This window comes from Homo sapiens, chromosome 17, assembly GCF_000001405.40.
Source record: "Homo sapiens chromosome 17, GRCh38.p14 Primary Assembly".
In the NCBI taxonomy this organism is placed as follows: Eukaryota; Metazoa; Chordata; class Mammalia; order Primates; family Hominidae; genus Homo; species Homo sapiens.
Window position 1 is genome coordinate 43,192,426 of NC_000017.11, and position 16,279 is coordinate 43,208,704.

At 45.7% G+C, this 16,279-nt stretch overlaps 1 protein-coding gene across 9 annotated transcripts in view; it reads left to right on the forward strand.

The window, feature by feature from the left end:
• Window positions 1-16,279, forward strand: part of NBR1 (NBR1 autophagy cargo receptor) — a 41,280-nt gene that overhangs the window by 22,017 nt on the left and 2,984 nt on the right. For 8 of the 9 annotated variants that reach the window (XM_011524813.3, XM_017024643.3, NM_031862.4 and 5 more), the window contains 10 exons: window positions 669-828; window positions 923-1,213; window positions 1,925-2,074; window positions 2,539-2,614; window positions 4,056-4,166; window positions 4,517-4,681; window positions 7,742-8,183; window positions 9,261-9,355; window positions 10,230-10,287; window positions 11,256-11,361. In XM_011524813.3, coding sequence (XP_011523115.1) covers window positions 669-828; window positions 923-1,213; window positions 1,925-2,074; window positions 2,539-2,614; window positions 4,056-4,166; window positions 4,517-4,681; window positions 7,742-8,183; window positions 9,261-9,355; window positions 10,230-10,287; window positions 11,256-11,361 — 1,654 coding nt within the window. The remainder of the gene's footprint in view (window positions 1-668; window positions 829-922; window positions 1,214-1,924; window positions 2,075-2,538; window positions 2,615-4,055; window positions 4,167-4,516; window positions 4,682-7,741; window positions 8,184-9,260; window positions 9,356-10,229; window positions 10,288-11,255; window positions 11,362-16,279) is intronic. The other variant, NM_001291572.2, reaches the window with a different exon arrangement.

Here is a 16,279-nt window from a genome sequence, read left to right on the forward strand (position 1 = left end):
TGGCGCGATCTCGGCTCACTGCAAGCTCCACCTCCTGGGTTCACGCCATTCTCCTGCCTCAGCCTCCCGAGTAACTGGGACTACAGGTGCCCGCCACCACACCCAGCTAATTTTTTGTATTTTTTAGTAGAAACAGGGTTTCACCGTGTTAGCCAGGATGGTCTCGATCTCCTGACCTCGTGATCTATCTGCCTTGGCCTCCCAAAGTGCTGGGATGACAGGCGTGAGCCACCGCGCCTGGCCAAGTTTCGTAGTTATTTTTGACACTTGTTTTGTTTCCTTCTTCAGAAAGATAGAAACCACTAAAGTTCAAAATGGCGGGGTCCCTCTCTTCATTGGAGGCAATCTGGAATTGAAGCAAAAGGAACAAATGTGTTAAAAGCCTGACTCTCTAGGTGTTGTATTTATAGGCCCTTTTAATTACTCTTACCATGACTTTTTTAGCTCAGGAGTGAGACCTATCCTCTGTTTTGTTTTATTGTTTTAAGTTTGTCAGAAAATTTATTGTTTCTAATATGTGGTCCTATACTAGTAATATCAGTATTATTTTTAAGGCAAATGGGTTAGCACATTTTCAAGAGTCACAGTCAGACTCTCAAGCTAGTGTGAGGTATTCAGAAGCCTTCACACCCAACAGCAAGTGACTAAGCATCTGAATTTCTGTTCAGGCTCCCTTTGCAGCCCTGTACCTCCGTTATGCCAATGCTCAGTGCAGCATTTGTGGATGAGAATTTGCCTGATGGGACTCACCTTCAGCCAGGAACCAAGTTTATCAAACACTGGAGGATGAAAAATACAGGAAATGTAAAGTGGAGTGCAGACACAAAGGTAATTTTTCCCACAAAATGCAAAGATGAGGTGATTTGAAGTGGCAGAGTGCTCAGCTGACAAGCTTGCTTTCTCTTCTTACTGTTCTTTTCAGCTCAAGTTCATGTGGGGAAACCTGACTTTGGCTTCCACAGAAAAGAAGGATGTTTTGGTTCCCTGCCTCAAGGCCGGCCATGTGGGAGTTGTATCTGTGGAGTTCATTGCCCCAGCCTTGGAGGGAACGTATACTTCCCATTGGCGTCTTTCTCACAAAGGCCAGCAATTTGGGCCTCGGGTCTGGTGCAGTATCATAGTAGATCCTTTCCCCTCCGAAGAGAGCCCTGATAACATTGAAAAGGGCATGATCAGCTCAAGCAAAACTGATGATCTCACCTGCCAGCAAGAGGTGAGCATTGACTGACAGGCTTTGGCCTAGTATCCAAATCTTAGTTAGAGAGGAGATGGCTAAAACTAAAAGAACCCACTCATAGCTGGTTGTTTTCCAGAAACCTTGAAAGGTTAGCATCTCCCCCCGCCCCAACACATCTCTATGCTGATATTTGGCCTCTTCCTTAGGGTGTTTGTTTTAGCGTCTTTAGGGTCTTGCTGCATACTGAATACTTTTGTACCTCTTTGTGATGTTGCATGGTCAGCCTGTTGGCTGCACAAGGGAAAAAGGGACTCCTGGCCTGGGCTGGCCTGTGGAACTGCTGAACTGATAGCTTTACTCCTTAACATCCATCTCTCCTGAAATACCCTGTGTATGTTCCCTAAATACTAATGAAGTCTTGCCCTGGTTGCTACTTAGTGAACAGTTTTTTAATGCAATTTCTCTGTATTAGTGGGGCAGAGTGTTTACTGCTTAAAGTTATCCAATGTTAATTTTCTGGTTTTGACTATTATAGTTAATATAAGTTATCGTCATTAGGGGAAGCTGGGGAATGTGAATTCTCTCTGCTGTTTTTACAACTTTTTCTATAACTGTAAAAATATATCAAAAACATTGTTTTTTAAAATATGGAGGTACAGCAGCGTTTTTATTTTTGGGGGCATTGTCAGCCTGCCTCTTCAGTTCTGTTGAAGGCCTAAAATTTGTCTCAATGGTTTGTCTCTATAGGAAACTTTTCTTCTGGCTAAAGAAGAAAGACAGCTTGGTGAAGTGACTGAGCAGACAGAAGGGACAGCAGCCTGCATCCCACAGAAGGCAAAAAATGTTGCCAGTGAGAGGGAGCTCTACATCCCATCTGTGGATCTTCTGACTGCCCAGGTGGAAGATTCAGCACTTTGAAGGGCAAGGGACAGAGGGAGAGAGCACAGGAGAGAAGGTGGTAGAGCCATAGGCAGTAATCAGGAAATCAGAGATATGCCCACTTTGATCTAGTCAGGTATATTTAATGGGAAGGAGATCACCCATGGAAGCAAGTTTGTAAACTAGATGTTTCCTCTTTGAATTGGGAACTCAATCCTGTACTTCCCCACAAACTCCCTTTAGTTGCCTCTTCACCTTGGCCTAGCTAATTCTCCTTCATACCTGCTGCATTTTCTCTTTCCTGCTATTGGGTTATTTCAACATCTAATTCCCATTTAACTCTTCTTGTTTTCACTTGTCTGGGGACAGGCATGAATTTGAACAGAGTTGAATACGAAATGATGTGGAAATGGTCTACAGGTCCCATCAAGACATGGCTCCAGCATGCACTCCAAACAGCCTAACATTGTCTTTTTTTATAGGACCTGCTGTCCTTTGAGCTGTTGGATATAAACATTGTTCAAGAGTTGGAGAGAGTGCCCCACAACACCCCTGTGGGTAAGAATGTCACTCATTTCATCTTGTTCGTCTTACTAATAGGCACAAAAGTACCACAGCCTAGACACTGGTAGTGTTTTATTCTGAGGAAATGGCAAGGATTTCTCCCACAGTAGGATAGTAAAGCAGCAATCATGGATCCGTTTTTCTTCTTTCCTGTCCTTTGTCAAAAGTAACAACATGCTGGGCATGGTGGCTCGTGTCTATAATCCCAGCTCTTTGGGAGGCCAAGGCAGGAGGATCACTTGAGGCCAGGGTTTGAGACCAGCCTGGGCAACATGGTGAAACCCCCATCTCTACAAAAATTACTTTTAAAAATTAGCTGGGTGTGGCCAGGCACGGTGGCTCACGCCTGTAATCCCAGCACTTTGGGAGGCTGAGACGGGCAGATCACCTGAGGTCGGGAGTTTGAGACCAGCCTGACCAACATGGAGAAACCCCTTCTCTACTAAAAATACAAAATTAGCTGGGCATGGTGGCACATGCCTGTAATCCGAACTACTCGGGAGGCTGAGGCGGGAGAATTGCTTGAACCCAGAAGGCGGAGGTTGTGGTGAGCTGAGATTGCACCATTGCACTCCAGCCAGGACAACAAGAGCAAAACTCCGTCTCAAAAAAAAAAAAAAAAAAAATTAGCTTGGCATGGTGGCCTGCACCTGTGGTCCCAGCTACCAGGGAGACTGAAGTGGGAGAATCTCCTGATCCCAGGAGGCAGAGGCTGCAGTGAGCCAGGATTGTGCCATTGCTCTCCAGCCTGGATGACAGAGTGAAACCCAATCTCAAAAAACAAACAAAAAAAAGAGGCTGGGCACGGTAGCTCACGCCTGTAATCCCAGCACTTTGGGAGGCCAAGGCTGGTGGATCACAAGGTCAGAAGTTCAAGACCAGCCTGGCCAAGATGGTGAAACCCCATCTCTACTAAAAATACAAAAATTAGCCAGGCATGGTGGCAGGTGCCTGTAATCCCAGCTACTCGGGAGGCTGAGGCAGAGAGTTGCTTGAACCTGGGAGGCGGAGGTTGCAGTGAGCCGAGATTGTGCCACTGCATTCTAGCCTGGGTGACAGAGCAAGACTGCATCTCAAAAAAAAAAAAAAAAGCAATAAAACAAGTTCGTGCAAGGCTTTTCCACTATAAAGGAATCCTCTTCTCTTTTTTCCCTCTAGATACTTGTGTCCTTTTGTTCCTTTATGTTCATGGTTTTGTGTCTTGGCCACAGCTTTCCAGGCTAAATAACTGTGATTCTTCCTGCATTGATTGATCTGAGATATTTTGCTTACTTATTGGTCTGGAGAAATTTTTTGTAACAGACCTCAAAGCATATCTTGGTTTATTTTAGCCCTGCGGGAGGCAAGAAGCCTACAAACTGCTACTTCTGGACACTGACTGTTGATGATATGATGCTTTCTCTTGATTGATGGTTCTCCTGTCTTCATTCTCCAGATGTGACTCCCTGCATGTCTCCTCTGCCACATGACAGTCCTTTAATAGAGAAGCCAGGCTTGGGGCAGATAGAGGAAGAGAATGAAGGGGCAGGATTTAAAGCACTTCCTGGTAAGGGATTAAACATTTGTAAAGTATTTGCATCCTCCCTTTCCATATCATACCCTATTTTACAGCTATCCCCTACTGACCCTACCTTAGCATGTAAATGGGCTTGCTTTCTGTAGCATCTCATGTTTTGAAGTCTCCTCACCTTCACATGGCACAGATAGCAGCTATTCCTTGGTTTAGTTTTAGCATGGGTAATGACTGGTGAATGTTCTTCAGCACTTTAAACACCAAGTGCAGACAAAGTTTAGATAGCAGCTATTCCTTGGTTTAGTTTTAGCATGGGTAATGACTGGTGAATGTTCCTCAGCACTTTAAACACCCAGTGCAGATAAGGTTCGTGTGTCTTTCAGATTCTATGGTGTCAGTAAAGAGGAAGGCTGAGAACATTGCTTCTGTGGAGGAAGCAGAAGAAGACCTGAGTGGGACCCAGTTTGTGTGTGAGACAGTAATCCGATCCCTTACCTTGGATGCTGCCCCAGACCACAACCCTCCTTGCAGACAGAAGTCCTTGCAGAGTGAGTGTCCTTGCATTTCCCCTACCTAGCAGGGTGGCACCTGAATTGTGACTGCCAGACTTGACTAGTTAGATGTGCTCTTCTTCACTGAGACTGAAGGGAGAGTGATCTTAGTTAGAAGTTCTGATCTTGGCGGGGCGTGGTGGCTCAAGCCTGTAATCCCAGCACTTTGGGAGGCCAAGGCAGGCGGATCACAAGGTCAGGAGATCAAGTCCATCCTGGCTAACATGGTGAAATCCCATCTCTACTAAAAATACAAAAAATTAGCCTGGCGACGTGGCGGGTGCCTGTAGTCCCAGCTACTCGGGAGGCTGAGGCAGGAGAATGGCATGAACCCGGGAGGCGGAGCTTGCAGTGAGCCAAGATTGCGCCACTGCACTCTAGCCTGGGCGACAAAGCGAGACTCCATCTCAAAAAAAAAAAAAGAAATTCTGATCTTGTTTGTGTCTTTAGACTCTACGTATGCTACCTGACTGTTCTAATTAGAGCATCAGGAGTAAAGAAGCCATCATACTCATTTCTCCATCTTCTCAGGGGCAGAATTACAGCTGCATTCCACAGTGGAATAGCAGCCAGTTGTGCTGCCTGGATTCTGCAGTAAGGAATCTTCCTGTAATTTGACAGAGCTCCTTAGCAGAGACCCCTATGGGTAGCTGAGTTGTCTGCTTTCTCCAAGGGCAGCAGTCCCAGAAACAGTGGATAGAAGCAGGAGTACCAACAAAGTTTCTCAAGGTTAAATTCTGCTGTAATAAATACCTTTATAGGCCGGGCACAGTGGCTCACCCTTGTAATCCTAGCACTTTATGAGGCTGAGGCGGGTGGATCACCTGAGGTTGGGAGTTCGAGACCAGCCTGACCGACATGGAGAAACCCCATCTCTACTAAAAATACTAAAAATTAGCCAGGTGTGGTGGCTACATGCCAAGGATTACATGCCTGTAATCCCAGGTACTTGGGAGGCTGAGGCAGGAGAATCACTTTAACCCGGGAGGCGAAGGCTGTGGTTAGCCGAGATGGCGCCATTGCACTCCAGCCTGGCAACAAGAGTGAAACTCCGTCTCAAAAAAAAAAAAAGGAATAAATACCTTTATAACAGAAACTTCTAGGTATCAGATAGATAGAACCAATAGCATATATTTTAAGAAGTATCCAAAAATTCAAATATACTATGTCAAAATAATATTGGAGAATCTCTTTATTATAATCAAATTTGACCTATATCTTTAAATATTATTTATCTTACTTTTGTTTAAAGTATACATGTAAGGCCAGGCGCAGTGGCTCACGCCTGTAATCCCAGCACTTTGTGAGGCCGAGGCGGACAGATCACAAGCTCAGGAGTTTGAGACCAGCCTGACCAACATGGAGAAACCCCATTTCTACTAAAAATACAAAAATTAGCTGGGCGTGGTAGCGTGTGCCTGTGATCCAGCTACTCAAGACGCTGAGGCAGGAGAACTGCTTGAACCCGGGAAGCCAAGGTTGCAGTGAGCTGAGATCGCACCACTGCACTCCAGCCTGGGTGACAGAGCGAGACTCCGTCTAAAAAAAAAAAATAATAAAGTGTACATGTGGCCAGGTGCGGTGGCTCATACCTGTAATCCCAGCACGTTGGGAGGCCGAGGTGGGCGGATCATGAGGTCAGGAGATGAAGACTATCCTGGCTAACACGGTGAAACCCCATCTCTACTAAAAATACAAAAAATAAGCTGGGTGTGGTGGCGGGCGCACCTGTAATCCCAGCTACTCGGGAGGCTGAGGCAGGAGAATGGCGTGAACCTGGGAGGTGCAGCTTGCAGTGAGCTGAGATCATGCTACTGCACTTCAGCCTGGGCAACAGAGTGAGACTCCATCTCAAATCAATCAGTCATGTATATCTTTATATTTTTTTCCACATGTGTGTACAAATACATAACAAAAAGGTCTGGAAAGACAGTACCAAAATGTTCACAGCTGTTATTCTGATAGGATTTATGGGTAATTTTTTTTTTTTTTTTGAGATAAGGTCTCACTCGCCCAGGCTAAAGTGCGAGTAGCAAGTTTATGGCTCATTGCAGCCACAACATCCTGGGGTCCCCCTACCTCTGTTTCCCAAGCAACTGGGACCACAGCCACATGCTACCACAATGAGCTAAATTTTTTTTTTTTTGTAGAGATGGGATTTCGCCACGTTGCCCAGGCTGGTCCCAAACTTCTGAGCTCAAGCAGTCTGCCTGCCTTGGCCTCCCAACGTGCTGGGATTTTAGGCGTAAGCCACCACACCTGGCCTGGGTAGCTTTTTTTTTTTTTGGGACACAGTCTCTGTCACCCAGGCTGGAGTGCAGCAGCGCGGTCTCGGCTGACTGCAACCTCCGCCTTCCCAGGTTCACACCATTCTCCTGCCTCAGCCTCCCGAGTAGCTGGCACTACAGGCGCCCGCCACCATGCCCGGGTAATTTTTTTGTATTTTTAGTAGAGATGGGGTTTCACCGTGTTAGCCAGGATGGCCTTGATATCCTGACCTCATGATCTGCCCACGTTGGCCTCCCAAAGTGCTGGGATTACAAGCGTGAGCCACCGTGCCTGGCCCTGGGTAGCTTTTTTCTATCCTTTTTTACCCTCTCAAACATGATTGGCCAGTTTTCTCCCATGACTGCATCATCTTTGTAAAGAAGAGGAGGAGATAGACATATAATCCTGCAATACTCATCTCCTAACTTTTTCTCTTTTTATAGCACTGTTAGTGTATCAGTTTTGGTTTAAACTCTACTCAGTATATTAACCATCACATAAAAAGGAAAAAAGGGATGGAGCTGCCTCCTTTTATGATTCATAGAGCTTCTTGGAAACCTGAGTGTTTCTGCCTACCTTGTTTCTGTGAGCTTTGATTCTATTTTGTTTTGCATAGTCTTCAAACTTAGAATATGGTCATAGTTCCAGAACCAGCCCTTCCCTTTAGTTCTTCCCTCTCCTCTGGCTTTCATAATTCTAGCTTATGATCCACAAGGCTTTACCAAGTAAGGATAGTACTTAGGCCTGCTTTTAGCTTCCACCTTAAAATTGGTTGCTTTCATCCTTTAGTGACATTTGCCTTGCCTGAAGGACCACTTGGAAATGAGAAGGAGGAGATTATCCATATCGCTGAGGAAGAAGCTGTCATGGAGGAGGAGGAGGATGAGGAGGATGAGGAGGAGGAGGATGAGCTCAAAGATGAAGTTCAAAGTCAGTCCTCTGCTTCCTCAGAGGATTACATCATCATCCTGCCTGAGTGCTTTGATACCAGCCGCCCCCTGGGGGATTCTATGTACAGCTCTGCGCTCTCACAGCCAGGCCTGGAGCGAGGTGCTGAAGGCAAGCCTGGGGTTGAGGCTGGGCAGGAACCAGCTGAGGCTGGGGAAAGACTCCCTGGAGGGGAGAACCAGCCACAGGAGCACAGCATAAGTGACATCCTCACGACCTCACAGACTCTGGAAACAGTGCCCCTAATCCCAGAGGTAGTGGAGCTTCCACCGTCACTGCCCAGGTACCACTCACAGCCCCCTCAGCTGGGGTGTTCTTCAGAGGTGAAATAAAGAGAGGAATCGACCTGATCTCAAAACCTGTTTTTTCCTCAGTATGGAAAGAGACTATTTTCCATAGCAAAGTCTGAATTTAGATGAATAAAAGTTGTATTTCCCAGTATTTGTGGATTCTGGATTTAAAGAAATATTTGTTTTAGTTGGCCTTAAATTATCTGAGTATAGTCTGTCTGCTTATATTTTGATTATTGAGAGCTGGTTGTGTTTTTTTTTTTTTTTTTTTGAGACAGGGTCTCAGTCTGTTGCCCAGGCTGGAGTGCAGTGGCACAATCTTGGCTCACTGCCACCTCTGCCTCTGAGGCTCAAGCAATCTTCCCACCTCAGCCCCCTGAGTAGCTGGGACTATAGGCATGGGCCACCACACCTAGCTAATTTTTGTATTTATTGTAGAAGCGGGGTTTTGCCACGTTGTCCAGGCTGGTCTTGAACTCCTGGCCTTAAGCGATCCAACTGCCTGGGTCTCCCAAAATGCTGGAATTACAGGTGTGAGCCACTATGCCTGGCTGAGAGCCAGTTTTTAAACACAAACATCCCTGGACCTTCCCTCCTTGTTTTATTGACTCTTCAGTAAAGGCAGCAAAAACTCAACCCAAACAGTCATAATTAGGAAGTTAAATCCATTATGGGAAAAAACACTATAAAACCAAACTAATTATTTTTAATTCTCTGGTGAATCTATCTGAATCATTCTTGTCTCCTAATAGTAGGGAAAATGCTGGAGCCTTGACTATAATGTAAACCATTCTCCCCAAAAGCTAGACATTTCCGTTTATTGACACCACTTGATATAGGTGGGGACATGACCAGACTGAAGCCAACATTTCTAGCTTGCCTGTGGCTAAAGAGGAAAATGGGGTAGAATGTAGCCCTTATGATGGAACCCTAAATCCAGACATGTGATCTGGATCAGAAATGTGAAGCCTCTGTAGAGAATTTGGCACTGCTGTGCTGTGTTTACTATTTCTCCACTGTTGCCATAAGTGCCTTTTCAATTTACTTTCCATATTGTGTCTTTCTGAAAGGAGCTCTCCTTGTGTACATCATCATGGTTCCCCAGGAGTGGATTTACCAGTTACCATACCAGAAGTTTCTTCAGTCCCTGATCAGATCAGAGGAGGTAATGATCAGCCTAAGCTTTTTCTCTTTTTCTCTGCTCCTGTCTAATGGAAACCAGGTATAAATAGCCTCTCTCTCTTCGTGATTCTTGGTGGTTTTTTGAAACTTGCCCTTCACAGGCCAGGCGTGGTGGCTCACACCTGTAATCCCAACACTTTGGGAGGCCAAGGCAGGCGGATCATAGGGTCAGGAGTTCGAGACCAGCCTGGCCAACATAGTGAAACCCTGTCTCTACTAAAAAATAGCAAAAATTAACCAGGCATGGTGGCGGGCACCTGTAATCCCAGCTACTTGGGAGGCTGAGGCAGGAGAATCACATGAACCTGGGAGGCGGAGGTTGGAGTGAGCCGAGATCGCACCATTGCTCTCCAGCCCGGGCAACAGTGCGAGACTCCGTCTGAAAAAAAAAAAAAAAAAACTTGCCCTTCACTCTCTCCATGCTCCTCCTGCATACTCTAATTTCTATTCTCTGGCTGAATATATTGTTAGACCTCATAGAGGTAGTGGAAAGAACACAGGCTTTGGAGCCAAACAATCTAGGTTCCAGCTCCATCTCCCCCTTTCCTGACTAGCAGTTCAGCAGGTTTCTAATGGCTGTGAGTCTGTTTTCTTACTACAAAATATATCAGTGTGTTAGGATTATAGAGTTGATTTTTCTGATTCAATAAACAATCATCTTGCATTGCATTTCTGGACAGTTTCTCCTTATCACTTAAACTACCCTTAAAACTTCCCAAATACTTTAAAAAAAAAAAAAAAAGACTTCAAACACTGTGATCAGATTGCCACCTGCCTCAATAATAGCCTTGCTGTGAGTTAGGAAACAGTAGGTGCTTATGGATGCTGCATCTAACCAACAGCTCTTTTGCTTTTAGAGCCCAGAGGCTCATCAGGACTTGTAAACAGCAGACAGAAGAGCTATGACCACTCAAGGTAACAACCTTGTGCAGTCTCTTTTTTCAGAAGCAGGTGGATATTCTTGTATTCCTTCTGCTTAAAAGAGCCTCTCACAGTATGTACCCATCTTCAGAGAGCAGAGAAGGGGAGCCTTTGTTCCGTCTTATTCTTGTTTCTTCTAAAGGCTTTGAGCAACACTGAACAAACGGCTAAAGCTGATGTTTAAGAGTGTTCTGTTTGGGAGGCCGAGGCGGGTGGATCATGAGGTCAGGAGTTCAAGATCAGCCTGGCCAACATAGCGAAACCCCATGTCTACTAAAAATACAAAAATTAGCCAGGCATGGTGGCGGGCACCTGTAATCCCAGCTACTCAGGAGGCTGAGGTGGGAGAATTGCTTGAACCCAGGAGGCGGAGGTTGCAGTGAGCTGAGATTGCACCATTGCACTCCAGCCTGGCTGACAAGTGAAACAACATCAAAAAAAAAAAAGAGTGTTTTATGTTTCAGACAAGGAAATAGTGTCCACAAATTACCTCACTCTTAGCACTGGGGAAAAGGTAGAAAGGTTAAGCCCAGTATACATTTAAATAATTTTTTCTTGGACATACCTGGTTCTCTGCTTCCACTCATATTAGGCCAGTGTCCAGAAAATCACATTTCCTTTGCAAGGTGTTTTCTCTGAGAGAATAATTGAGCAGACAAACTGTTGATATCCTTGTGTGTCCTCGATCACATTAATTTTCAGCTAGGAGTGAGAGCCATCATGGTTACCAGAGTGGTGTGTTTCCTGCAGTGCCCCTATCTTGCTTGCACCAGTAGAGCTGGGCCCTCCATCAAACCATGATCTGTAGCTATAAAGCTGATAATGAAAGCAATTGTGTTCTCTTTTTCCATCTAATTTTTTCTCTTAAGGAAATCTTATTCCAAGGATTAGAGCCCAGATTATCTTGTAAAAAGGTAATGATTTGTGTTTGTTTGGGGAGATAATTTGGTTTTCCTCTGCAGGCACCATCATGGGAGCAGCATTGCTGGAGGACTGGTGAAGGGGGCTTTGTCTGTTGCTGCCTCTGCATACAAGGCCCTGTTTGCTGGGCCACCAGTCACTGCACAGGTCAGTGTGTGTGTTTTATTTTCCTGAATCTCAACTCCATGTCACCAGTGAAAGTGATGGCATCTGTCTGGGTTGAAGAGTAACATGGCATTGTGGAAAGGGCATAGGCTTTAGATTTAGTCTTTAGTTAACACACAACACAACTCTGCCACTTTTTTTTTTTTTTTTTGAGACGAAGTCTCGCTCTGTTGCCCAGGCTGGGGTGCAGTGGCGCGATCTCGGCTCACTGCAAGCTCCACCTCCTGGGTTCACACCATTCTCCTGACTCAGCCTCCCGAGTAGCTGGGACTACAGGCGCCTGCCACTACACCCGGCTAATTTTTTGTATTTTTTAGTAGAGACGATGTTTCACCGTGTTAGCCAGGATGGTCTCAATCTCGTGACTTCATGATCTTCCCGCTTCAGCCTCCCAAAGTGCTGGGATTACAGGTGTGAGCCACCGCACCTGGCCAACTCTGCCACTTTCTAACTATATGACTTTAGCCAAGTTACTTAAGGGAAGAAAAGAGAAGAATGTATTATTGATGATCTATTAATATTTTCTATAGAGAGAAGCTATTCCAGGTGTTGGCACTATGGCATGAATAAAACACCAGTTCTTGGCCGGGTATGGTGGCTCTTACCTGTAATCCTAGTACTTTGGGAGGCCAAGGTGGGAGGATTGCTTGAGCCCAGGAGTTTGAGACCAGCCTGGGCAACATAGTGAGACCCCCATCTCTACAAAAAAATTTAAAAATTAGATAAGTATGGCCGGTACAGTGGCTCACACCTGTAATCCCAGCACTTTGGGAGGCCGAGGCAGGCCGGATCACAAGGTCAGGAGATCGAGACCATCCTGGCCAACATGGTGAAACCCTGTCTCTACTAAAAATACAAAAATTAGCTGGGCGTGGTGGCAGGCACCTGTAGTCCCAGCTACTCGGGAGGCTGAGGCAGGAGAATTGCTTGATCCAGGGAGTCAGAGCTTGCAGTGAGCCGAGATGGCACCACAGCACTCCAGCCTGGCGACAGAACAAGACTCCATCTTAAAAAAAAAAAAAAAAAAGTATGATGGCATGCACCTACAGTCCCAGTTACTTGGGAAACTAAGGTGGGAGGATCACTTGAGCACCGGAGGTTGAGGCTGCCGTAGTGAGCCACAATGGAGCCACTGCACTCCAGCTTGGGTGACTGAGCGAGACCCTGTCTCAAAAAACAACAACAAAAAAGACACTGAGTCTTGCCCAGAAACTATGGGAAACAAGTGAGGTGCATGGATACTTAAAGTACATAGTAAGATACTATGCTGGCCGGGTGTGGTGGCTCATGCCTGTAATCCCAGCACTTTGGAAGGCTGAGGCGGGCGGATCGTGAGGTCAGGAGTTCGAGACCATCCTGGCCAACATGATGAAACCCCGTCTCTACTAAAAATACAAAAATTAGCCAGGCATGGTGATGTGTGCCTGTAATCCCAGCTACTTGGGAGGCTGAGGCAGGAGAATCACTTGAACCTGGGAGGTGGAGGTTGCAGTGAGCTGAGATTGTGCTACTGCACTCCAGCCTGGGCAACAGAGTGAGACTCCATCTCAAAAAAAAGAAAGATACTATGCCAGTGCTATCAGACAGATGAAACACTTCAGCCTGGTGTGCCCAAGTAAGGCTTTCTGGTAGATGATGCCTGAACTGAGTCCTAAAGGACGGAGTAAATGTTCATCAGGAAAGAGGGAGGGAAAGGGTATTGTAGACAGTGTAGCCAGTAAAAAAGACTTGGAAATGTGAGCATGGAGTGTGAATCCGGTCTAAGAAGAGGAGTAAGACGAAAAAAGACTGGCTGGGCTTGGTGGCTCACACCTGTAATCCCAACAGGTTGGGAGGCCAAGGCTGGTCGATTATTTGCGTCCAGGAGTTCAAGACCAGTTTGGGCAACAGGGCAAAACCCTGTCTCTACTAAAAACATAAAAAATTAGCTGGGCATGGTGGTATACGCCTGTGGTCCCAGATACTCAAGAGGCCGAGGTGGGAAGATCACTTCAGCCCGGGAGGCAGAGGTTGCAGTGAGCTGAGATCACACCACTGAACTCCAATGTGGGTGACAGAGTGAGACCATGTCTCAAAAAAAAAAAAAAAAAAAAGGCTGGGTGTGGTGGCTCACGCCTGTAATCTCAACACTTTGGGAGGCTGAGGCGGGTGGATCATGAGGTCAGGAGTTCGAGACCAGCCTGACCCACATGGTGAAACCCCATCTCTACTAAAAATACAAAAATTAGCTAGGCGTGGTGACGTGCCTGTAATCCCAGCTACTCAGGAGGCCGAGGCAGGAGAATCGCTTTAACCTGGGAGGCGGATGTTGCAGTGAGCCGAGATTGCGCCACTGCACTTCAGCCTGGGTGACAGAGCGAGACTCTGTCTCAAAAAAAAAAAAAAAGAAAAAGAAAAACAGACCAAATATGTAGGCAGGATGCTGTGTTATGAGGTTTGGATTTTATTTTAAGGCTAATTAATAGGAGGAGCAATTGAAGGGTTTTAAGGAAGTGATTGACATGATGAGATCTGTTTTTAGTAAGATTACCGGCTACATTGTAGAGGCTGGTAGAGCCAGTAAAGAAATCCAGTTGGGCGTGGTGGCTCATGCCTGTAATCCCAGCACTTTGGGAGGCCGAGGCGGGCAGATCACGAGGTCAGGAGTTCAAGACCAGCCTGGCCAATATGGTGAAACCACATCTCTACTAAAAATACAAAAATTGCCGGGCGTGGTGGCACGTGCCTGTAGTCCTAGCTACTCGGGAGTCTGAGGCAGAAGAATTGCTTGAACCTGGGAAGCAGAGGTTGCAGTGAGCTGAAATCATGCCACTGCACTCCAGCCTGGGTGACAGAGCGAGACTCCGTCTCAAAAAAAAAAAAAGGAAATCCCTAAGAGAATCCATGTATTGGTGGAAAGGAAGGGTAGAAAAGATAATTAAGAGATGGAAATGGCATAACTTTGAGATGATGATTAAGTGGCTAAAAAGAAGGATAGGCTGGGCACGGTGGCTCACATCTGTAATTTCAGCACTTTGGGAGGCCAAGGTGGGCAGATCACTTGAGTTCAGGAGTTTGAGACCAGCCTGGGCAACATAGTGAAACCTTATCTCTACAAAAAATACAAAGAAATTAGCCGGACTTGGTGGCGCACACCTGTAGTCCCAGCTACTTGGGGGGCTTAGGTGGGAGAATAGCTTGAGCCCCAGAGGCAGAGGCTGCAGTGAGCTGAGGTCATGCCACTGCACTCCAGCCTGGGCAACAAAGCCAGACACTATCTTGGGGTGGAGGGGAAAAAGTCAAGGATAAATCCCAAGTTTCTGGCTTAGTACCATTCATTAAGAGCAGAAGAAGAGAACTAGGTCAGTTTTGCTGGACAGTGTTGAGTTTGTGGCATATCCAGGTAAAGGTAAAGATATCCAGAGTGCAGCTGGATATATAGTTGTCCCTCAGTATCTATGACGGTTGGCTCCAGGACCCCCTGTGGGATACTGAAATCCATAGATGCTTAAGTCCCTTATATAAAATAGTGTAGTATTTATATATAACCTAGGCACATCTTCTTGCTTGCTTGTTTAGTTTTAGTTTTTTAGATACAGGGTCTTGCTCTGTCATCCAGGCTGGAGTGCAATAACTAGATTGTAGCTCACTGCAGCCTAGAACTCTTGGATTCAAGCAATCCTCTCACCTCAGCCTCTTGAGTAGCAGGGACTACAGGTGGGCACCACCATGCCTAGCTAGTTTTTTAAAAATCTTTTTGAAGAGATGGGGTTTCACTGTGTTGCCTAGGGCAACTAACTCCTGGCCTCAAAACAATCCTCCCACTTCAGCCTCCCAAATTGCTGGGATGAGAAACTTGAGCCGCTGCACCCAGCCCATCTCATATACTTCATCTCTACATTACTTACAATACCCAATACAATGTAAATGCTATCTGAATAGTTGTTATACGGTATTCGGGAATAATGACAAAAAAGTTTGTACGTGTTCCTTTTTTTCTCCCCAAATATTTTCAGTCCTTTGGTGACTGATCCATAGATGAGGAACCCACAGATAATGGCAAGCCAACGGTATCCATCCAGATCACAGGGGAGGGATTTGGCCTGGTGATACATGCTTGAGAGTCACTTGCCTACAGATTATAGCAGAAGCCATCTGATGGAATGAGATGATCCAGGAATAATGGGGAAAGCAAGAAGCAACCTTTAAGGATCAGGGAAAGGAATACTCTGAAAGAAAGCTGGGAACTAGGAGGAAAATGAAGAGAGAGAGTTCTATGCTGGAACTTAAGGAAGGGTGTTTTAATAAGGGGGACATGGTCAACGGTGTTAGATGCTACAGAGAGATATGAACTGGTGGTGAGGAATTTGAGAGTAGAAGTATGCCACACTTTCAAATAGACAGGCTACAACAGGCAGAAGCTAGGATACATAAGACAAGAGGAAGCATTTTTAAAGTTGGGTGAGACTTTAGAGATGGGCAAGCCAGCAGTGAAAGAGGTTAATGATAAAGATGAGAAGACAGATTGGAGATGGAGAAAGATTTCTGAAGTGGTGAGAGGTAATAAGATACAATGCAAGGTACATTCCATTAACCTGCAAAGGAGGATGGATAATCTATTCTGAAATAAGAAGGTAGAATGGAACAGTGGAATCAGGTTTGGAGGGAAATGCTTAACATGTTTGCATACTGTTCTCATCTTTACATACTTTTTCAACAACCCTGCAAAGTAGGAGGTATGATATATCTTCAGTTCATAAAGGAATTGATAGCACAGTTGGTAAGTAAATGGAAGATTAGGGTTTGAGTCTAAGCCTATCTGCCTCCCAAGTTAATAATCTTTCTGCTGCACAGTTTCAGTATCCCCAGTCTGTGAAATTGGGATAATAACAGAACCAGAGGCCAGGCGAGGTGGCTCACA